This window comes from Homo sapiens, chromosome 9 (assembly GCF_000001405.40).
Source record: "Homo sapiens chromosome 9, GRCh38.p14 Primary Assembly".
NCBI classification, from domain to species: domain Eukaryota; kingdom Metazoa; phylum Chordata; class Mammalia; order Primates; family Hominidae; genus Homo; species Homo sapiens.
This window is the reverse complement of record NC_000009.12, coordinates 36401392-36425439: the sequence shown is the minus strand read 5'-3', so window position 1 is coordinate 36425439 and position 24048 is coordinate 36401392. Positions and strand designations below refer to the sequence as shown.

Genomic DNA, 24048 nt, shown 5'->3' with positions numbered 1-24048 from the left:
TTACAGGCCTAAGCCACTGCACCTGGCCTCTAAGATTATTTTAAAAATGTAACATTTTTGTCTAAAACTGGCCTCATTTTTTACATTACATAGATCTTTGACTCACCATTTTGTTTATGGTATGAAGTACAAACCAAAACTTTTTTTAAAAAAAATGGGTAATCTGTTGTTCCAATCACTTGTTGAATAGTTTGTGTTTTTATTGGCTAGAAATGTAACTATTATTAAAGAGCAGTTGTTATTGGAAGGTAGTTTTTAAAATTTACAAATGGGTATATTTGGTATACATTTAAAATAATAAAAACATTTAAAGTGTTATGTGATTGTAGATTAGATTGTTTCTTATATGTTTAGAATTTATAGGACCAGTTTTTTCTCAAAGCATGTGTAGTCTGAAAAGGAATGTAATATTTTTCCTCATAAATAAGAGTTTGCCTTATTGAAGGCTTGTGTTTCTGCAGGTAATCTTACTTTGAAAGCAGACTACTCGGTCTAGTAGAAAGAGGGGGAATTAGCAGTTTGAATAATGGAGTTGTAGTTTTAGACCTGCCACTCCCTAACTGGTCCTTTGTGTGGGTCAGCCTCTCTGTGTTTTGTTTTCCTCTGTTAAAATGCATGAATAATAATCCCCACAGTGTCTACTTATATGAGTATTTTATTAGATGGGATCATGGATGTAAAAGCACTTTTAATTGGTAAAGCAGTTTAAATGTAAGGAATTACTGCATCTTAACCTTTCCTCCCTTTTTCTTGTAGGTAGTGTTGGTGCTTCTTTTCAGTGCCAGTCCATCCATCACGACCACATTTGTCATGATGACAGTGACAAGGTGAGGTTCGTGTTGATGTCTGCCATGGGGAAAATGCATGCCAACCTTACGTTGCTGGATTCTCTTGCGTAACTCTGGGCCTAGGGCAAGAAGAGTGTGATTTGTGGGGACACATTGTTGAGATGCTGAGGGCCTTGCTGGTTTGTGTGTCAAATTATTGACTGCTCCAGAAAACCTAGGGCAAATTCCTCAACCCGAGGTGGGTTGGACTTTTGATCAACACTCCACTTTCCTACCTATGCCTCTGTCCCCATCGTGGTGCTTCCTCTTCTGCAAAGCCTGAATGGATTATCTTAATATACGAACATGTGTTTCAGAGGTTGATAGCTATCTCAGCAACTCATGTTGGAAATATCCTGGACATTACATTTTGGTTCACTTTTGGCATTAATTGCATTGAATTATGTTTTCTTCTTATACTTTACCTTCAAAAAATTTTTTTGGCTCTGTTTACAAAGGCCAGTTTAAATATTGGGGATTGTCAGTTGAATCGATCTGGTTCATACACAAGAAGTCTACTTTGGGCCTGATATGTATATATTTTAAATTATGTCCAAACTATTGGTGGTGGTTTCATTGTGTTTTTTGCTTTTGTTCTTTTTATCTCTAAAGAAACCTGGTCTCTAGGGGGGGCTTTTCTTTTTTTTTTTTTTTTTTTTTTTTTGAGACGGAGTCTCGCTCTGTCGCCCAGGCTGGAGTGCAGTGGCGCAATCTCGGCTCACTGCAAGCTCCGTCTCCCGGGTTCACGCCATTCTCCTGCCTCAGCCTCCCGAGTAGCTGGGACTACAGGCGCCCGCCACCACGCCCGGCTAATTTTTTGTATTTTTAGTAGAGACGGGGTTTCACCGTGTTAGCCAGGATGGTCTCGATTTCCTGACCTCGTGATCCGCCCGCCTCGGCCTCCCAAAGTGCTGGGATTACAGGCGTGAGCCACCGCGCCCGGCCGGGGCTTTTCAATACTCATCAGTACGCTTGACGGCCCAGCCCTTGCAGTAAATATTTCTGTGAGCTGGGCGTTTGGAACATCTGGCTGCCGATCTGGATGGACTTAAATTTAGTCTTTTTCACCATCAATTTCTAGTGGCTTCCCTCCCATTTTCTGCGTGTTATATGCAGGAATCTATCACTCCCTTGGTAGTTTCCAGTGCAGACCAATCTAAGCAGTCTTTTTCTCTGCTGTTTTGATCAAGATCCTCCTCTCTCATTGTGTTGGAGCTGGATCAAGAAGTTGGTTGATAATTGGGATTTTCCAAATGGTTTCTTTGTTCTGTTTGTTGGTCTCTGTCTTTGTGAGCTTTGTTCAGACTGATTTCACTCTCTTTACAGAGAGTGGTAGCTTATAGCATTCCAGAGTCTCCTTTATTATTGTACCAATCAAGAGACATGAGTTTCATTTTTAACTTCTTTCAAAGGCAAGCCACTGAAAGAGACTTCTAGAATATATAGTTGGCTACAGAAAATTTTGTATACTACAGATTTTAGAAATGAGCATTTGAAATTAAGAGTGATGATAGAGGGAGAAGGCAAAATCATTTTAGGTTACTAATGTTACAAGTGATTGTGCTTCATAATTATGAAGGTGCTTTTGGGTTAAATTTTTTTTCTTCTGCTAAGTGTGTTATGCTAGTATCCATTTGTTCATTTATGGTATAGAAGCCAGACTGCCCTCCGGGTTGTCTCCAGACCTTAGATTCTGAAGATAAGCTTTTTGTCTACCTTTGCCAGGTACTTCCTGTCACCCCTTAAAATGTTTTTGTTTTCTAATTTATTAATCTTTTCTATAGCTGATTTTGTGCTTTTGAGACAGGAGATTTTTCTGGAAATATGGGGGAAAAAAGGGAAGAGAAGTTTAAGGAATATTATTAAGGAACAGGAGATCAGCAGGGTAAAGAACTGTCTGAAACGACTCTCCTTTCTTCCTGCCTACCATGTATATATTGATTGTTTCCTAAATGGAAATGGAGAAAATGGATTAGGGTCTCTTGACTATGTATTTAGAATTTATTCAATTCATTCAGTCAGCAAGTAGTACTTATCGATAGGTAGCTATGTGTCTAGGCATTTAGGGAATACAGCCAGATAGAAAACAGATAGATTCTAGTATAGCATTTTACAATAAGTGAAGTGGATAAAAGAAAAGTTACAGATTACAGCCTTTCTTTCTCTCCTGTTTTTTTTTTTTTGTTTTTTGGTGGGTAGACTGAGTCTCCCTTCGTTGCTCAGGCTGGAGTGCAGTGGTACAGTCTTGGCTCACTGCAACCTCTGCCTCCCAGGTTCAAAAGATTCTCAGCCTCCTGAGTAGCTGGGATTACAGGCGTGTGCCACCACGGCCAGCTAATTTTTTGCATTTTTATGTTTGTTTGTTTGTTTGTTTATTATTTTGAGATAGAGTCTCCCTCTGTTGCCCAGGCTGGAGTGCAGTGGCAAGATCTAAGCTCACTGTAGTGTCTGCCTCCTGGTTCAAGTGATTGTTGTGCCTCAGCCTCCCAAGTAGCTGGGACTGCAGGTGTTCATCACCGTGCCTGGCTAATTTTTGTATTTTTAGTAGAAATGGGACTTCACCATGTTGACCAGGCTAGTCTCGAACTCCTGGCCTCAAGTGATCCACCCAACTCAGCCTCCCAAAGTGTTTGGATTACAGGTGTGAGCCACCATGCCTGGCCAGATTATAGCTTTCAACAGGATCATCAGGTGTTATTCTGGGGAGGAGAGTGGGTGGATATCATATTTAAAAATCAGATCGCTACATATACAACAGCCCCCTGACGTCTTTCTATGACACGTGGGTATTGGTTTTGCAAAAACTAAAATGAACCTGTTGCCCTCTGCACACTCACTCTCTCTCCCTTCCCCACTTCTTCATAGTCTAACTCAGAATTAAAGGGATCATAGAGCACGTTTACGCCAACCTGCTTTTTATTTTTATTTTATTTATTTATTTTTATTTTTCAGACAGAGTTTCGCTCTTACTGCCCAGGCTGGAGTGCAATGGTGTGATCTTGGCTCACTGCAACCTCCGCCTCCCGGGTTCAAGTGATTCTCCTGCCTCAGCCTCCCGAGTAGCTGGGATTACAGGCATCCGCTACCACGCCCGGCTAATTTTGTATTTTTAGTAGAGACGAGGTTTCTCCATGTTGGTCAGGCTGGTCTCAAACTCCTGACCTCAAGTGATCCTCCCACCTCAGCCTCCCAAAGTGCTGGTATTACAGGCGTGAGCCACCATGCCTGGCCCCAACCTGCTTTAAAAAAAAATAAACTTGGGAGCTGTGACCACCATGGGAGAAATTACTTGTTCAGGGGTAACCCACAGTGCTAGGGGTAGACCAGATCTTCTGTATCGAATGCAAGTTATATAAAATATTTGCTTAGGTATTCTGAGCACATTGTCAAAACGTGTTGATTCTTTGCTTGTTGTCTTTGCCTATCTTTCAGGCATGGTGTATTTCTCAGATTGGGGAAGAAAAGATGATTTTTCTTACATGATTTTTCTTATAAGTTTTCTCACTTTTAACTAATCCATGTGTGACTGGGGATGGAACCACAGTTCAGGCAAGGAGTATGAGGGCCAATTTATTTGTTGGACATCCTCTCTACAGCCTTGGAGGTGGTGTCCAATCCCCAATTTTTTGGCTTGATCTGTTGTTCTCCAGCTTAAAGTTTCTCTCCTGATATGTATCTGTTTATAGTTTATAGTGCTGGAAGAAACTGATTCCAGCTCTGATGTTAATTATTAAATCCTGTGAGTTACAAATTCTCATTAATTTATATTGGGCACAGCAATTTGCACAAGCCCTCCAGCATTATTTTTACATTCGTTCACAGGGCCATATTCCATAATTTCTAGGTGGCAAACGTTTATATTTGAGTAGCTACTACATACAGAGCAATGTTCTAGATACTGGGGATACTGCATTGAAGAAAACAGAAGTCTTTGCTCTTATGCAGCTTGCTTTCTGTGAGTGGGGAAAGGCAAGACAATAAAGATATTGTTAACTGATTATTTGTGTTGTGAAGAATAAGAAAGCAGGGAAGGGGGCATAGAAGTACTGGGAGAAGGTTGTCCTCTTTTTTTTTTTTTTTGGAGACAGAGTCTTGCTCTGTTGCCCAGGCTGGAGTGCAGTGGCGCGATCTCAGTTCACTGCAAGCTCTGCCTCCTGGGTTCACTCCATTCTCCTGCCTCAGCCTCCCTAGTAGCTGGGACTACAGGTGCCTGTCACCACGCCTGGCTAATTTTTTGTATTTGTAGTAGAGAGGGGGTTTCACTGTGTTAGCCAGGATGGTCTCGATCTCCTGACCTCGTGACCCACCCGCCTCGGCCTCCCAAAGTGCTAGGATTACAGGCGTGAGCCACCGTGCCCGGCCGAAGGTTGTCCTTTTAACCAGGTAGTCACAACACCCTTTGAAGTAGGGACTGCTTTATTCCAGTTTTATCAGTGAGGAATCTGAGGCACAGATTAAATATTTACCCAAGATCACACAGCAGTACACTGGGATTCCATCCCAAGCTGCCTTGCTCAAGTCTGTACTCTGCTGTTTGAAGAAACCTATTCCTATTTTAACTTCACCCATTCAACTGTGACATGCTTGGAGAAACATATCTGCAAGTGGAGAAGGCCTCAGAGAGTCACAGTGGAACTGAACCATTGGCACCAGTCCTTCTCGGTAGTTTTTTTTCTTGCCCCCAGGCCTTTATTCTGATTCATGACTATTTGTTATTCCAGGCTCCTTGCCAAGTCATCCCTACCCTGTGTCAGGTTCAGAATTCTGTGCGAGTTTTTTGTTTGTTTGTTTGTGACAGGGTCGCACTTTGTTACCCAGGCTGGGGTGCAGTGGCGCAATTTCTGCTCACTGCGACCTCTGCCCCCACCTTCAAGGGATTCTCCCACCTCAGCCTTCCCAAGTAGCTGGGAATACAGATGCCGTGCCACCTGTAGTCATGTTTCACTTAGATACTGAAATTAACTCAGCTAATGTCAGTTTGAAAATAGTCACATTTTCACAGTGACAACAAGCTTGAGCTGGGGAACTAGGTCTGACCTGAGAATGAGATAAAATATTGAAGAATTTGATAAGACTATTCTCTCAGTTGAGGTGAATTAACTTGTAGCCTCAATTATATATTTTTTCAGAGTTCTTGATACATTGCCAGGAGGATGGCCATTTGAGAAACGAAAATAGAAGAGTTCTTCCTAAACTGCTTATGTGTACTGATTCAGAGCAGGAGTCTTTCTTGACAAGAATTCCTTATAGTAGGCTTCATTCATTTGTCTTGGAAAAAAGCACCCATCCAGCTTGTGGTATAAGTAATCCCATGCATACTGCCTTCAGGGAAGATGGAAAATGTACTTACAGGTTCAATATCGCTTATCTAAAATGCTTGGGACCAGAAGTGTTTGGGATTTTGGATTTTTTTCAGGTTTTGTATATTTGCGTTATATACTGGTTGAGCATCCCAAATCTGAAAATCCAAAATGTTCCATTGAGTACTTCCTTTGAGTGTGAAATCTTTGCTCAGAAAGTTTTGGATTTTGTAGCATTTCAGATTTTGGATTTTTAGATTTTTGCTCGAGATGTACCAGTTTTTCTTCTGTGACTGTATACTTCCTTTTTCTTGATCTTTTTACTTTTTAGTATTTATTTGTTTATTTTTGAAATGGAGTCTTGCTCCATTGCCCAGGCTGGAATGCAGTGGTGTGATCTCGGCTCACTGCAACCTCCACTGCCAGGGTTCAAGCAATTCTCCAGCCTCAGCCTCCCGAGTAGCTGGGATTACAGGCATGCACCACCACCATGCCCAGCTAATTTGTTGTTGTTGTTGTTGTTTTTTGAGACAGAGTCTTGCTCTGTCACCCAGGCTGGAGTGCAGTGGCACCATCTCGCCTCACTGCAACCTCCGCCTCCCAGGTTCAAGCGATTCTCCTGCCTCAGCCTCCTGAGTTGCTGGGATTACAGGCGCGTACCACCACATTTGGCTAATTTTTGTATTTTTAGTAGAGATAGGGTTTCACCATGTTGGCCAAGCTGGTCATGAACTCCTGACCTCAAGTGATCTGCCCGCCTCAGCCTCCCAAAGTGCTGGGATTACAGGCATGAGCCACTGCGCCCAGCCTGTATTTTTTTTTCGTAGAGATGGGGTTTCACCATGCTGGCCAGGCTGGTCTTCAGCTCCTGTCCTCAAGTGATCCACCTGCTTTGGTCTTCCAAAGTGCCGGGATTACAGGCATGAATCATCATGCCTGGCCTCTTTTTAATTTTTAAAAATTACATATTGATTGTTGGCCAGGCGCAGTGGCTCATGCCTGTAATCCCAGCACTTTGGGAGGCCGAAATGAGTGGATCACTCAACCTCAAGAGTTTGAGACCAGCTGACCAGCCTGGACAACATGGCAAAACCCTGTGTATACAAAAAATACAAAATTAGCTGGGCCTAGTGGTACACACCTGTGGTCCTAGCTACTCAGGAGGCTGAGGCGGGAAGATTACTTGAGGTTGCATGGAGATCAAGCCACTGCATTCCAGCCTGGGTGATGGAGTGAGACCCTGTCTCCAAAAAAAAAAAAAAAATCACATATTGATTGTAAAAACAAACACAGCACTCTATTCAGTTTCTCTCCTGAGAAATAACAATTGGAATTTCAGTATTAACAGATTGTTTTTTCTTACCATATTTGTATGAAATGTTTTTCATCCTTGTAAAATCAAGTTCCTTGATTGTACCTTGGTAGAGAAAGATTCTCTAGCTTAAGATAGGAACTAGATTTGTAAAAGTTAAGCAGTGTTTCATTTAAAAAGTGGTGGAAGTGGCTGGGTTTGGTGGCTCATGCTTGTAATCCCAGCAGATTGGGAGGCCAAGGCAGGCAGGTCACTTGGGGCCAGGAGTTCGAGACCAGCCTGGCCAACATGGTGAAACCCTGTCTCTACTAAAAATACAAAAATTAGCTGAGCGTAGTGGTGCACGCCTGTAATCCCAGCTACTCGGAAGGTTGAGGCAGGAGAATCTCTTGAACCCAGAAGTGGAGTTTGTATTGAACCGAGATTGCACCACTGCACTCCCGCCTGGGTGACAGAGTGAGATTCTGTCTCCAAAACCAAAAAAAGTGATGGAAGTATTGTTAATTTATAGAATTATTATTGGTACTTTTAGGTAAATAGTTCAAATATCAAAAATAAAAGTTAACCTACTGTTAGAATTCAAGTAAGATGTATAATTTTAAATCAAAAGCGGGCAGGATTAACTTGCAGCTTCTACTCGGATGGACAAAACAGTGTGTGGAGACTCACATCGTGAACTTTTGCTTCAAGAACTACCGCAGGAACATAACAGTAAAACCGAAATTATTCACAGACCCTTTGAAATAAGCGGCTTGTCGCTGCAAATTCCATGAGACAGCCAAAAGCTGTGAGTGCCCAAAGTGAAGAGGGGGAAAGTCTGCCTCTGAACACACATCCTCACTGGGGAACCTGAAAATCCAGATCATGGGAGAAGGATTTAACCTTACCTGGAGCTGATACGAATTTAGAGAGCCAAATGAAATATAAAAGTTGATGCAAGGCCAGGCGCGGTGGCTCCCAGCCAAAAAGTGCTGTAATCCCAGCACTTTGGGAGGCCAAGGTGGGTGGATCATCTGCAGTCAGGAGTTCGAGACCAGCCTGGCTAACGTGGCGAAATCCTATCTCTACTAAAAATACAGAAATTAGCTGGGCATGTGGCACATGCCTGTAATCCCAGCTACTTAGGCAGCTGAGGCAGGAGAATCGCTTTAACCAAGGAGGCGGAGGCTGCAGTGAGCTGAGATGGTGCCGCTGCACTCCAGCCTGGGCCACAGAATGTGACTCTGTCTCAAAAAAAAAAAAAAAAAAAAAAAAAAAATATCGAGGCAGCAGCAAGAAGGAGCCCTGTAGACACTTCTAGTCCCCAGGGAAGCCATTTCTGACTTTTATCTTACCAGGGGTTCTTGGGAAAGGCTGCCATTAGAAATGGGGAAGGACCACAGGGAGAAGAAAACTTACAGCCTAACTTTGTAATAATTTTGACTGAGTGCAAATTTTCCTGGGCAATATTTGGGAGTGGGCAAACCGAAAGTGCAGATACTGGCACAGAAGTTAGGGCAGGCAGGGAGGGGCAAGACCTGAAATCCTTGCCTGCTTTCTCAGCAGGGGCTTTTGTAGCCTGGGGCAAAATCTCAGCCTTGCTCTAAGGCTGCCTGGATATAACGGTGTTGTCAGGGCATGGTGGGACTGAGACCGGCCTTGCTGGTTGTGGAGGAATTCGGTGAGGCCTGTCACTGCCAGCTTGCCCCCAACTCCCTGGTGATCTGTTTGAAGCAGCAGAGGCAACCATAATCCCCCAGGGAATACAATTTTATTGGCCTGAGAATCACACCCCCATCCCCCATCCTCCCATCTCCCACCCCCTCCCCCTCCCTCCGCCCTGTGGCCACAGCAAGCCCCGCCCAAGGAGAGTCTCAGATATGCCTAACCTGGCCCTTACTTGATGGTCTTTTTCCGCCCTGGTAGCGTAAAACAAAACACATAATATCTTGAGAGCTCTATGGTGCCACCCATCACCTGATAAATCAGAATACTTATCCAAGTGACCTTAGGGCAAACTTGTATCCCCCGCCCCGTACTACTGCAGTCGATGTTGTATTGAAAGCGCCACCTTCTGACTGGAGGCCAACCAACTGAAGCCATTACAGCAACTCATAAAAGAACAACTCTGCACCAAGAAAGGAGAAAATAATAGCAAATTCCACTGCCTGTAACATCCTAGCTAACCAGAGGTTCTGAGTCTGTCCATGTTACAACTTCACTGCCAGCACAACCAGCATTTGAGAAAACCAGTGCACTAAACAAAACTACCAAGGACCCTCACAGGGTCCACTTCATTCCCCTGCTACCTCCATCGGAGCAGATGCCACAGCTGAGAGACCGGGATACTGATCACATTACAGGACTCTTTGCAGACACTCCCCAGTACCAGCCCGGACCCCAGTAGCTCTACTAGGTGGCTAGATGCAGAAGAGCAGCAACAATCACTGTAGTCCAGCTCTCAGGAACCTCATCCCTAGGGGAAGGGGGAGAGCACCATGTCAGGGGATCACCCCATGGGACAAAAGAATCTGAACAACAGCTATTGAGCCCCAGATCTTTCCTCTGACATTAGAAAAAAACAAAAAAACAAAAAAAACAAGATACGGACAAAAAAATCTCCAGAGAAATAAAATCAATAAAACAACAATCACAACTTCAGGAAATGAAAGACACACTTAAATACAAAATACACTGGAAAATTTCAATAGAATTGAACAAGAAAGAAGTTGAGGGCTCAAAGATAAGGCTTTTTAATTAACCCAGTGTGACAAAAAAGAAAAAAACTGAATAAAGCCTCCAATAAGTTTGAGATTATGTTAAACGATCAAGCCTAAGAATAATTGGTGTTGTTGAGGAAGAAGGGAAATCTAAAAATTTGGAAAACTTATTTGAGGGAATGATTGAGGAAAATTTCCCTGGCCTTGCTAGAGATCTATACATCCAAATACGAGAAACTCAAATAACTCCTGGGAAATGCATTGCAAAAAGATTATCACCTAGGCACACAGTCATCAGGCTAACTAAAATAAAGATGAAGAAAAGAACCTTAAGAACTGTTAGGGAAAAGCATAAAGGAAAACCTGTCAGATTAACAGCACGTTTTTCAGCAGAAACCCTGCAAGCTAGAAGGGATTGGAGTCCTATGTTTAGCCTCCTTAAACAAAACAATTACCAGCCACGAATTTTGTATCCAGTGAAACTAAGCTTCATAAATAAAGGAAAGATAAAAGTCTTATTCAGACAAACAAATGCTGAGAGAATTCGACACCACCAAGCCAGCACTACAGGAACTGCTAAAAGGAGTTCTAAATCTTTTTTTTTTTTTTTTTTTGGAGACAGAGTTTCGCTCTCGTTGCCCAGGCTGGAGTGCAATGGTGCGATCCCGGCTCACCACAACCTCCACCTCCTGGGTTCTAGTGATTCTCCTGCCTCAGCCTCCCGAGTAGCTGGGATTACAGGCATGTGCCACCACGCCCGGCTAATTTTTTGTATTTTTAGTAGAGACAGGGTTTCTCCATGTAGGTCAGGCTGGTCTCGAACTCCCAACCTCAGGTGATCTGCCCCCCTCAGCCTCCCAAAGTGCTGGGATGAACAGGCGTGAGCCCAGTTCTAAATCTTGAAACAAAACAAAACTTCAAAGTACACCAAAATAGAACCTCCTTAAAGCATAAATCTCACGGGGCCTATAAAACAATAACACAAGGAAAAAATACCAAGATATTCAGGCAGCAGCGAGAACGATGAATAGAATAGTAGCTAACATCTCAATACTAACGTTGAATGTAAATGGCCTAAATGCTCCACAAAGAATACAGAGTGGCAGAATGGGTAAGAATTCACCAACCAAGTATCTGCTGTCTTCAAGAGACTCACCTAACACATAAGGACTCACATAAACATAAGGTAAAGGAGTGAAAAAAGATATTCCATGCAAATGGACATGAAAAGCAAACAGGAGTCGCTATCCGGAGTCGCTATCCTTATATCAGACGAAACAGACTTTAAAGCAGTAACAGTTAACAAAGACAAGGAGGGACATTATGTAATGATAAAAGGACTGGTCCAACAGGAAAATATCATAATCCTAAATATATTTGCATTTAACACTGGAGCTCCCAAATTTACAAAACAATTGCTACTAGAAAACAGCAGCACAATAATAGTGGAGGACTTCAATACTCCACTGACAGCACTAGACAAGTCATCAAGATGGAAAGTTAACAAAGAAACAATGGGCTTGAACTATACAACAAAAGTGACCAAATGAGAATCAAATCAAGAACTCAACTGCTTTTACAATAGCTGCAAAAACAAACAAACAAAACTAGGAATAGACCTAAGAGCTGAAAGACCTCTACAAGGAAAACTACAAAATACTGCTGAAAGAAACCATAGGTGACACAAACAAACAGAAACATATCCCATGCTTCTCATTATTTCTTGCCCCCTGCTCCCAGCAACCACTGATATTTCTGTATATGAATTTGCCTATTCTGTACATTTCATAAAATGGGATCTCAAAATGTAGCCTTTTGTGTCTGGCTTCTCTCATTGAGCATGATTATGTTAGTCTGTTCTTGTGTTGCTATAAAGAAATACCTGAGGCTGGGAAATTTATAAAGAAAAGTTTCATTGGCTTGCAGTTCTGCAGACTTTATACAAAGCATGGTGCCGCATCGGTTTCTGGTGAGGCCTCAGGAAGCTTAGGGAAAGGAGGCGATATCACATGGTGATAGAGGGAAAGAGAGAGTTGTGGGGAGATGCCATGCTTTTTTTTTTTTTTTAAATTGAGATGGAGTCTTGCTCTGTTGCCCAGGCTGGAGTGCAATGGCGCATTCTTGGCTCACTGCAACTTCTGCCCCCCCAGGTTCAAATGAGTCTCCTGCCTCTGCCTCCCTAGTAGCTGGGATTACAGACACCTGCCACCACGCCCAGCTTTTTTTTTTGAGATGGACTCTCGCTCTTGTTGTCCAGGCTAGAGTGCAATGGCTTGATCTCAGCTCACTGCAACCTCTGCCTCTTGGGTTCAAGCGATTCTCCTGCTTCAGCCTCCTGAGTAGCTGGGACTATAGGCATGTGCCACCACACCCGGCTAATTTTGTATTTTTAGTAGAGATAGGGTTTCACCATGTTGGTCAGGCTGGTCTTGAACTCCCGACCTCAGGTGATCCACCCGCCTTGGCCTCCCAAAGTGCTGAGATTACAGGTGTGAACCACCGCGCCTGACCCTAATTTTTGTATTTTTAGCAGAGATGGGATTTCACCATGTTGGTCAGGCTGGTCTTGAATTCCTGACCTCAGGTGATCCACCTCGGCATCCCAAAGTGCTGGGATTACAGGCGTGAGCCACTGCACCCAGCCAGTGCCATGTTCTTTTAAACAACCAGATCTTTCGTGGACTACCAAAGCGAGATCTCATCTCGCTCTTCACCAAGTGGATGGCGCTAAGCCATTCATAAGGGATCCACCCGCAAAATCCAGATACCTCCCACGAAGTCCCATCTGCAACACTGGGGATTACAGTACATGAGATTTGTAGGGGACAAATATCCAAACCATATCACATGGTCATTTCAAGATTCATGTTGTGCAAGTAATTGGGTAGTTAGCTGCTCTCTATTAGGTGTTGAAGATGGCCTTCAACCTGACACTTTGGCAAAGATCTGAATAATAAGTAACAATTCAGGTGAAAATCAGGGTCATGGAAAGAACATTTAAGGGAAATAATACAGCTAGTGCAAAATCCCTAAAGCCGGAAAGATGAGGGAAACAAAAGGCTGATATTTGTAAGCATGGTGGATGCGGATTGGGAATGGTATGAGATGAGCTTGGAGAGGTGGGCATGGGCCAGCCCATGTAGTTCTTTGTAAGCCAGGGAAAGTAGTCTAGATTTTATTCTGCTTTTTCGAGAAGCCATTGGAGGGTTTTATGCAAAGGAGTGGCATAATACAACATGTTTATAAAAGACCACCCTTCTACTTTCTGTCTCTCTGAATTTGGCTGCTGTATGTACCTCATACAAGTAGAATCATACACTGTTTTTCTTTTTGTAACTGGCTTATTTCAGTTAGCAGGTCCTCAAGGTTTATCCATGTTGTAGCATATATCACAATTTCCTTTCTTTATAAGGCGAATAATACTCTTTTGTAAGGCTGAGCGTGGTGGTTCATGCCTATATTCCCAGCACCTTGGAGGGCTGAGGTGGTGGTTCACTTGAAGTCAGGAGTTTGAAACCAGCCTGGCCAACATGGTGAAACCTTGTCTCTGCTAAAAAAAAAAAAATACAAAAGTTAGTCCAGTGTGGTGGCAGGTACCTGTAGTCCCAGCTACTTAGGAGGCTGAGGCAGGAGGATCACTTGAACCTGGGAGGCGGAGGTTGTAGTGACCCAAGATTGCACCACTGCACTCCAGCCTGGGTGATTGCGCAAGACTCTGTCTCAAGGAAAAAAAATGTCATTGTAATATACATCACATTTTGTTTATTCATCATTGATAAATACTTGGGGTTGCTTCCACCTTTTGGCTATTGTGAATAATGTTGCTATGAACACGGGTGGACAAGTATCTCTTCAACCCTGCTTTCAGTTCTTTTTGGTATATACCCAGAAGTGGAATTGCTAGATCATATGGTAATTCAGTTTTTTATTTTGTGAGGAACTGCCATACTGTTTTTCATAGTGGCTGTACCATTTTATATTCCCACCAACAGTGCAGAGAGATTCCAGTTTCTCCAAATCCTCGCCAACACTTGTTATTTTCTTTTTAATTTTTTTATAGTAACTATCCTAATGAGTGTGAGATGGTGGTTTTCATTTACACTTCCTTTTGCCATTTTTTAATCAGGTTTTTTTTTTTTTTTTTGCTGTTCAGTTTTAGGAGTTATATATTCTGGATATTAACCCCTTACTAGACATGATTTACATGTATTTTCACTTATTACATAAGTTACATTTTTTACTGTAATAAAATACACATAACATAAAATGTACCATCTTAACCATTTAAATGTACAGTTCAGTAGCATTAAGTACATACAGTACATTCACCTTTTTGTGCAGCCACCACCACTCTCCATCTCCAGAACTTTTTCATCTTCCTAAACTGAAATTCTACCCATTAAACAATAACTCCTCATTGCCTCCTCCAGCCCCTGGGAAACAACATTCTACTCCTAGACTACTTTCAGACTCCATTTCTTCCTTCACTTAATAAAAGAGAGGGTCCACTGCTGACTAATAGGATTGTTTTTATATGTGGAGGCCTTCTTGGAAACGTGATTGATTTATTTTAGAGAATAGTAATAGAAAATAGGGTTGTTGAAAGAAAAGAGATAGAGACAAAAACTGGTTGGGTGTTTTCATACTGGATGTCTTATCCGCAGGCCTCAGCATTCCTGCCTCGGTTCTGCCTGATTCTTTTACATCAAGAAGTTGATCTTGCTAGCCATTTCCATGTTGTAGATCTGCCAGCAGGTTTCATAGATTTCCCTTTGTTCCTGGTGGCATGGCTTCTCACAGTACAAAAATTAGCCAGGCATGGTGGTGGACGCCTGTAATCCCAGCTGCACGGGAGGCTGAGGCAGGAGAATCGCTTGAACCCAGGAGGCAGAGGTTGCAGTGAGCCGAGATCATGCCATTGCACTCCAGCCTGGGCGACAGAGCAAGACTCCATTTCAAAAATAAAAATAAATAAATAATTTGAGGAACAAATCTATTGTGATATGTTCTTTTGTAGTGTTTCATTGCCTTTAGGTTTAGGAAATCTGTCTCCATTCAGATATTTACCCGTATTTTCTAAAAGTTTTAATAATTTTACATTATCCTTTCTTATCTACCTGGAATTTATTTAGTATATGATTATGTGACCCACTGTGTTTTCAGTAGATTCTCACTTTGCTTTGTTGTAAAATATCTGATTAGAGATTCCATGTAATGATAGGTATTTTGAGATTGTTGTTATTGGAGATTATTTTGTTGGTCTTTAAAATGTCATTATCTCCTAAGTTTATTTTGTTTTATTTACAAGACACTATTGCAACAGGAACAAGCAAGCCAGGGGAAGATAAATAAGCTTCCTATGGAAGCTTAAATTTTATATTTACTCTACAAAGAGTTGTACTGCCTTAAGAGATTTACTTAATATTATGATTTGTTTTGTAGTACAAATTAGAAATCTGCCCACATATTTCCTTCTTTTCCTTAAAGTCTGGAGGGCCTGTAGAATGTGGCACGGGCAGGAGGATACAGGGTTTGTGGAGATGCACCGTGTATCACATATGTCTGTGCAAAACCATTCGTGTTAGGATCCTAAAACTATCATCAGTGGAAACACTGGCAGTTTTAGTGAGCTGGTCACATTTCATGAATGCAAGATGTTAGACTTCTATAGCAGGGTGTGTGTCATCTAGAGCAAGTTATTGACTGTACAGGTATTTGAGCTCCACCAGAATTCCCTAGAGGAAAGAAAGTGTGTTCCTCATTGAACATAATGGAAATAGTAAGACGTTCAGGCAGTCTGGTCTGCAGCATTCGAATGTTTCTTGCATCTCAAACTTCTTAAGACTGTGATTCCCATGTCTGTTTTCAGCGACTTCTCTTCGTGGTCTTTCCCAAAAGTAAAGTAGCTAATTGGCTGTGCTTCTGTTGCCCGCCCGCCTGCCTTCTTTCTTTTTTTCTTTCTTTCTTTCTTTCTTTTTCTTTCTTTCTTTCTTTTTCTTTCTCTCTCTTTCTTTTCTTTCTTTCTTTCCTTCTTTCCTTCCTTCCTTCCTTCCTTCTTTCCTTCCATCCTTCCTTCCCTCCTTCCCTCCCTCCCTTTCTCTCTCTCTTTCTTTCTTGGAGACAGTCTCACTCTGTCACCCAGGCTATAGTGCAGTGGTGTGATCTTGGCTCACTACAACCTCTGCTTCTCAGGTTCAAGTGATTCCCCTGCTTCAGCCTCCCAAGTAGCTGGGATTACCAGCATTCACCACCACACTCGGCTAATTTTTGTATTTTTAGTAGAGAGAGGGTTTTACCATGTTGGCCAGGCTGGCCTCGAACTCCTGACTTCAAGTGATCCGCTCCCTTCTGCCTCCCAAAGTGCTGGTATTACAGAGGTGAACCACCACACCCGGCCATGTGCATAACATCATTTATTTTCTTGAAGCACTTATGTAAGTATAACCCATTTAAGTCCTTATTTCACTGGCTTTTGGGATCACATTTTCCATTAATGCCCAATTCTTAATGATTTGAGCGCTTGCTTTTCTTAAATTCAGTTGAACAGTTTGTCTGGCTTTCCTCTCCAGGTATTTCTGGGACTTCCTGGGTAAACTGCTTGTCCTTCCAGCCAGTCCTTTGACCCATGGCCCATTGGTCACCAGCTTCCCTAAGGTGTTCTCACTGGTGTCACTTTGGCTCAAGTTTAGGCCCAGCTCCTAGATTATAGTTTGGGCCTAGTTCCTAGGCTATTAATATTTAATAAAGGATTTAACAGAAGGGCATCAGAACAAAGAGAACTTAAAGCTGCATATGAAATATGGCTTCACTAAAAGTATACTGGTCCAAGTTCTGCTCAGGGCTTCTCTCTTCCTGATGCTTGGCGTACTGCTGTCCATAGGGCTAGCCTATCTTTCCTCAGGGAGTACCCTGAAAACTACTGATTCCCCTCCAGGGTCAACTCCAAACTGTGATCAGTTAGCTTTGCTTTGAATAAAAATTGCCAGCCTTGGCAACATGGTGAAACCTAGTCTCTACAAAAAAAAAAAAAAAAAATTAAGTCTGTTGTGGTGGTGTATGCCTGTAGTCCCAGCTACTCAGCACTGAGGCGGGAGGATCACTTGAGCCCCCAGGAATTCAAGGGGGCAGTGAGCTGTGATCATGACACTGCACCTCAACCTGGGTGACAGGTTTCAAAAAATTAAAAAAATTGATGCTGCCTTTTAGGAGGCAGTGTAGCAATATATCTTGAAATTTTAAGAAAATTCACATACTGTTTGAACCAGCAATTCTACTTCTAGAAATGTACTTTTATGGATATATTTTCAAATGCTTGCCAAACTATATGTATGTACAAGAATATTAATAATAGCTTTGTAATAGCAAAACACTGAGAACAACCTAAATGTAATACAGGATTTAAAAAAAATACAGAGATGGTTCCTCCCTAACAAAGAAAGAATTGGCTTTGTTGAAAAGAATAACCTAGATCTGTATGTGGCTAACTTTTTTTTGTGCTCTGGGTCTCCATTGGATTTGGTAAAAACTGTAGTGCCAGAATATGATTGCCCCTGAGATGAAGCTGCTGGAGCATACAGTTGAGCTCAAGGTGCTGTCTGTTCTCCGGAACAGAACAAGCAAGAGTGTGGCTTCAAAGAGTATAGGTTACAGCAGGCCATCTAGTGGAGGCCTGTTGCCTCAGGGTCAGCTCCTGCCTGGTTACCCTGTTCTAGAGGTTGAATATGCTGTGATGTGCAGTGTATGCTTTATTTGTGCCCTTGGGTCTCCACTTCTGATTGGTATAGGTCTCTGTTTTTCTGCTTCTGACTTGGCTGTCCTAGGCACTTAGGTTTCTTCATTTGAACTCCTTCCTGGCCGATGCCTTTTCACTGTCCACCTGCTTTAGCCCCTTCACACCTTCACTACCATGAGCTTGCCCTCTGTCATTCCAGCTACCATGGTTCAGTCCAAGTCATCTCTCACCTGCACTGTGGAAACAGCCACCTGACTAACTCTTCACCTCAAAGCTGGATAAGTGGCTATATAATATGGGAGGCTTTCAGTGGACTTCGATTTGGGTGAGCCTTTGCTGCCCTCTTCTGGTCTCTAGCTGCTATAGCCGGCAGCTGCTACTAATTAACTTTTTCTACTTTGATTTGTGTTAACATTTCTGGGTGAAACTGCTTATGCTGATTGTTTTGCAGTAGTAGATCAAGTTGTAGCATGCTTGTAGATACTGCGTAGGCTAAATGCTGTTCAGCCAATATGCCTTTTCCCTCAGTGCAGCTTTATCTTTTGTTTTTTGGGTTTTTTTTGTATTTTTGGTGGAGATGGGGTTTCATCATGCTGTCCAGGCTAATCTCAAACTCCTGAGCTCAAATGATCTGCCCGCCTTGGCCTCTCAAAGTGCTGGGATTACAGGCGTGAGCCACCGCGCCCGGCCCAGTGCAGCTTTATGTTATTCAGTCCTTTTAGCTGGTTTTGGAGGAAGAAAGGAAACTTAGGGATGACAGCAAAGCTAGCTTCAGGGAAGATTTTGAAATTTATTTTTTCTGCATCCCTTTTCCTCTCTTTTCACTGCCCGCTTTCTGTTGTTCCTGTGCTTCATTTCTCCTTGGGAATTTACCAAGCGAGAAACGTAGAATCAGCCACTGCTGTGAAATATTTACATATCATTAACAGAACTATTTATTAAGCACATGGTATGTGCTAACCCCTTGCCAGATTTGGTAAGACTTAGTCCTTGGCTTCAAGAAGTTTACTATTTATTGGGCAGAAGTGTCAAGTAAATACAAAGTTGGAAGGCAGAATGATTAATGCTATTTTAGAACACACAGGAGAGGCCACTAACTCGGCAATAGAGATTGAGGTTGTTGGAGTGAGATTATAGTAGGGATACTTGGATGTGGATGTGATGGCAGAACAGTACTGACAGTGTTAACCAATGAGGAACTGCCTTCTCATTAGTAGAGGTCCAGAACTTCCAGCAGGTAAGCCATTCTTTACCCCAGCACCTCCTTTGACATTTCCTTCCATGTGAATGGTTCTTCAGCATTTGGACAAGTGGTTCTTTACCTGTAGCTGTTGAATCATGCCTTTCAATGCCTTAAAATAGGAGATGGTCCTCTTTCCATTTTTGTGCATTTTCCGTCATCCATTCTTCCCCCCAACATCGGTGTCAGTGATATACAAACAAAGCAGAACTGAGACTTGAGGAGCTTACAGTTTAACAGGAGGAAACAGATATTTGATAAACGCTGTAAGGTGTTATGATACAAGTGTGTAGAGGGATAAGGAGGACAGCCTGTAACCTCATAGTCAACTTTTTTGTAAAAAGATCCTTCAGATAACCATTATTTTAGATATTCCTTGATGTCTAGAAATGCAAAACTGGTCACAAAAATAAACTGTATATTTACCATTTGACAGACTATTAACTAGCACTTATTTAAATTTGTTTATGATTATTGTTTAGTGTGTTTTAAAATGTATTTGTAGCAACGGTACCCTTCAAATTCACAAGATTGGGAAATGGTTTTCTAGAAGCAGATAGTGAATTTCAGAATGAGATCTTTCTTATATATATATCCTAAGATTACAGTTGTTTTGCCTTAGTTAGAAATAAAGAAAAAACAGGACATCTAAGGAAATTTAACTCCAAGTCCAGTTAGCCAACCAGCAAATTTTCCCAAACATTTAAAGAAGGCGTTAACACCAGTCTTAAAGAAACACTTCTAGAGAATAGAAAGCAAGCCAGTACTCCCTGATTCATTTTCTGAAGCTAGCATAAGTCTTTGTAACAAAACTTGATAGGGACATTATAAACATGGAAAATTACAGGTAAACTCACTCAACACAGAAGCAAAAATTCTAAACAAACCAAATCAACCATTTAGAGCAATACAGTAAGCCTAAAATGGGCTGATTAGAAATGTGAATTCCTAACACCCCCAAACCAATCAAATTCACATATTAACAGAAAAGTCATATGATTAACTTGTAGATACAGAAGTTTTTCATAAAATCAAACATCCATTTATGAATTTTTTTTTTTAAGAGACAGAGTCTCTCTCTGTTGCCCAGGCTGCAGTGCAAAGGCACGATTTCAGCTCACTGCAACCTCCGCCTCCTGGGTTCAAGTGATTCTCCTGCCTCAGCATCCCAAGTAGCTAGGAGTACAGCCACGTGCCACCATGCCTGGCTAATTTTTTGTAGTTTTTAGTAGAGATGGCGTTTCACCATGTTGGCCAGGCTGGTCTCCTGACCTCAGGTGATCTGCCTACCTCGACCTCCTAAAGTGCTGGGATTGCAGGTGTGAGCCACTGCACCTGGCCCATGTATAAATTTTTAATATATTAGAAATGGCAGAGAACTCCTTTAATTTTCTAAAGGGGTCTTAAAAAAAAACAAAACTACAAACACCGTACTTAAATGTCGACAGTTTTTCAGTTGAGGTTTGGAATAAAACAAAGCTGTCTGGTTAGCACTGTACTAGAGGTCGTTGCCAGTGCACTAAGACAAGAAAATGAGTATATGTTGGAAAGAAAGAAATGGAACAGCCAGTATTTTCTGCCAAGTAGACAAGGATATAAACAGAATTGTTTGTATAGAAAACTCAAAAGAACTGAGATAAACTATTAGAATTAATAATTGAATTATATTAACAAACCTAGAATAAACCTAAGAACTAAAATATGCAAGACCTTGATAGAAAACTATAAAGCATTATTGAAAGAATTAAAGACTCAAGTAAATAGCTTATAGATTGCTATCTTTACAATATTTAATCTTCCTATATTCCTTAACTCATTTCTAGATCTAATGCAGCCCAAGAAAATCCCAGCAATTTCACCTTTTTCCTTGTCTTTTTTTCTTTCCTTCTTTTGAAATAATTTGATTCTAAAATTCCTATGGAAATTTAAAAGGCCAGAGATAATGTAGACACTCTGAAGGATAACCTGCTGTAACAGATGAAAGGAAGTCTTATAAAGCTGCAGTAATGACGATGGTGTGGATCAGCACAGGGATAAAGAGAACAGTGCAACAGACTACTGAACCCAGAAACAAACTCATGCATATGTGGCCACAGTTTTTTAAACAAAGGAGCAGTTGGCAAGTCTTTTTCAGTATATGATGCTGTGTCAAGTAGATGTCCGTATGGGGAAGAGGGCACTTGATTCCCTCCTCACCAACACCAAAAATCAATTGCAGGTGATGTGTAGATCCAAATGGAAAAGAGAAAATAATAAAAATTCTAAGGAAATAATATAGGTGAATGTCTTTATGACCCATGTGAAGGGAAATATTTCTTAAACAGGATAATGACAGCAACTAGAAACACAAACCTGAAACCATTAACTATAAAGATTTAAAGATGGGAGAAATTAATGGTGTGTTTTTGTGTTCTGTTAGGAATAATCCAATAAAGAGAAAAACATGATGGTATAAAAGAGAATTTGTAGAGTCACATTCTTTAAAAGGTGAAAAGTGGGTGAGATTTAGCATTGAAGAATAGGCTGAATTTGTTCACTAGGTGATCAGTTCTAAAATCCTATGCAGTTTTTGTATAGTGGCTGCTGTTATTCCCATGTATTAGAATGGCAGAACACCAGAGTAAACAATCTCATTGAATAACTACCAGAACCATCTGAAGGAACTTCAGCATTTTCCTGTTCAGTAAGCAATGTTTTGATATATTTTTATTTTAAAATTGAAGGGACTCAAATGACTTGGGTAGCTCTGGAATAACAGTAGTCATTCACAATTTTCACTTGTCAAGAAAACCAGTTTTTTAAAGGGAGCCTCAGAGTCAGAATTCTCAAAAAGCTCTTGCCAAAAGCACCTTTTCTTACAAATGCTGTACTGTCCCGTAGCCCTGTGTGGCTTTAAAAACTGATCCTGGACAATTCATTAATTGGACTAGCCACATTTCAAGTGCTCAGTAGCTACATGTCACTAGCTAGTGGCAGCCTTTTCGATGGGGCAGATGTAGAATATTTTTGTCATTGCAGAAAGTTCTATTAGTTCTGCAGTGGGACTTTCCACCTTTGTGGACAGACACCAAATAAAATTTTAGCTTGACTGTAGTTAAGTGACTGCTCTGGTATAACTTTAGCCCCTGCCACATTAGGTGTCAAAGGTGGCCCACCACTTTAAAAGCCTGCCTGCTCTTTGGGTGTTTACTTGCATGGCTTAAGATTTTCTGGTTAAGAAATAAATTAGAGGCTGTGCATGGTAGTTCACACCTGTAATCCCAGCATTCTGGGAGGCCAATATGGGAGGACTGCTTGAGCCCAGGAGTTAGAGACCAGCCTGGGCAACATAGTGAGACCTGCCTCTACAGAAAATTAAAAATTTAGCCTGGATTGCCTGAGCCCAGGAGTTTGAGACTGCAGTGAGATGTGATCCAGCCATTGCACTCCAGCCTGGGCGACAGAGCACCGTGTCTCAAAATACAAAAAAAATAAAAAAAGAAGAAGAAATTTAAAACTATCCAACCTGGGGTTGTGACAGCATTGTTGAAGATCGTAACCATTTGAGAGGTTTCAGGAAGCTTGCCTCACAAAAGGTTGGCTGAAGCTCAGAGGGATTTGCTGAAGCTTAGAGGTGAGGAATGCTGGAGGACTGTAATAGATTTTTGCTGCTGAGTTCAGCACTTGAGGAATCTGCCTCTCTTACAGTTAGATAGCTCCCAAATGTAACTTCCCTTTCCTTTCCTGATGTTCTTCTCCCCTTTCCCCTCTCTTCACATAGTCCTATCCAAGCTTGGAGGAAAAGCTACTTCAGGGTGGTCTGCGTTCTGTAGGGAGGATTTTTTTTTTTTTTTTTAAGCTTAGATTCTGGTGGAAGATCTGTAATTGGAAGGCGAATCCACAGTAGATTGCGATTTGTGAGGGATACAGAGGATAGAAAATAGGATACATTGGATAAACTTAAAGGTATGGTTGGCACTTTACCTTGAAGTGAAACAAACAAACAAAAAAAACAAGTTTAGATGTGATCATCTCCAAACTGGCTGCTTTGGGAGAGAGCCAGCCAGCTGGTTAACTGGGTTACATAATTCGAGTATGGGTTTGGGGTGGATATGTTCATAGGGACCTAATACCTCTTTCCAGCTTCTCTTTGTTTGTCCTGGAATTCCAAAACCTATGATGTTATTGCTGGAACTTTGATTCAGCAGTTGCTAAACACCTTCTCTTGTGTTTCTGGCACTAGACTTGGGCCTTGGGTTTAGTTTACACAGTCCCAACAGAGTCTGGGTGCTCAGTCTGATATGGGAGACAAGTGTACATAAATAATTACCATATAGTGTTGTTCATAAAGAGAATGTCCAAGGTCCAGAAGGTCCTGAAACAACATTTACTCTGATTTCCCCCATTTTCTACTGGTTGCAGCTGAGGCCCAGAGAGGGAAAGAGAGACTGGTTTAAGTAATGCCAAAAGAACTAGAACTTGAAAACCCGAGTTTTCTGTTGACTGGTCCTTAATAATTTTACTCTACCACCCTAAAATATGATCACCATCCTTGCGGGAAACATCTAATTTCTGCTTTAAAAAGTCCACCCCTTCCATGATGTCCTCTTGACTGCCCTCTCTCCTTAAGTCTGATACCACTTTACTATTTTTTCCTTGTATGGATTGTGCTTTTGTGGAAATTTTTATTTTCTCTCTTGTATCGTGATTATCAGGACAGGAGCCAAGCCGGCTTCAATCTTTGTTCTTATTTCCCCTCCCCAAGCGACATCTGAGCAACTGTCACACTTAAGGAAGCCTCGGACAAGTTGGGTTCGAACCTGTTGGCTTGCTGCATTGAGAGACACCTTTGTGTACTGCAATAAAAATTCTTACTTTTCGGGCCACGTGAATGCATTTATGCTGTAAGAACTACGTGAGGTCAGTTACTGTTTGATTGCGGAGTTTTGTAGGTAGGAG

At 41.7% G+C, this 24048-nt stretch overlaps 1 protein-coding gene, 1 long non-coding RNA gene and 1 pseudogene across 9 annotated transcripts in view, besides 1 other annotated feature; 2 read left to right on the top strand and 1 right to left on the bottom strand.

The window, feature by feature from the left end:
• The window catches only part of RNF38 (ring finger protein 38), a 151270-nt gene that overhangs the window by 62230 nt on the left and 64992 nt on the right, over positions 1-24048 (top strand). For all 8 annotated transcript variants that reach the window (XM_047422796.1, XM_047422795.1, XM_047422794.1 and 5 more), the window contains exon 2: positions 757-827. In XM_047422796.1, the coding sequence (XP_047278752.1) occupies positions 757-827 (71 nt within the window). The remainder of the gene's footprint in view (positions 1-756; positions 828-24048) is intronic.
• Positions 9130-9752: an enhancer, noted in NCBI's record as "NANOG-H3K27ac hESC enhancer chr9:36415685-36416307 (GRCh37/hg19 assembly coordinates)". NCBI's record gives its function as "activates a minimal SCP1, AML or CMV promoter by ChIP-STARR-seq in primed H9 embryonic stem cells {active_cell/tissue: H9 hESC(primed)}" and the evidence as "EXISTENCE:reporter gene assay evidence [ECO:0000049][PMID:30033119]".
• Positions 11050-23975, top strand: LOC124902152 (uncharacterized). Its single transcript, XR_007061475.1, has 2 exons — positions 11050-23546; positions 23855-23975. It is a non-coding gene; the product is annotated as an uncharacterized LOC124902152 (long non-coding RNA).
• Positions 14806-14950, bottom strand: MRPS21P4 (mitochondrial ribosomal protein S21 pseudogene 4; annotated as a pseudogene).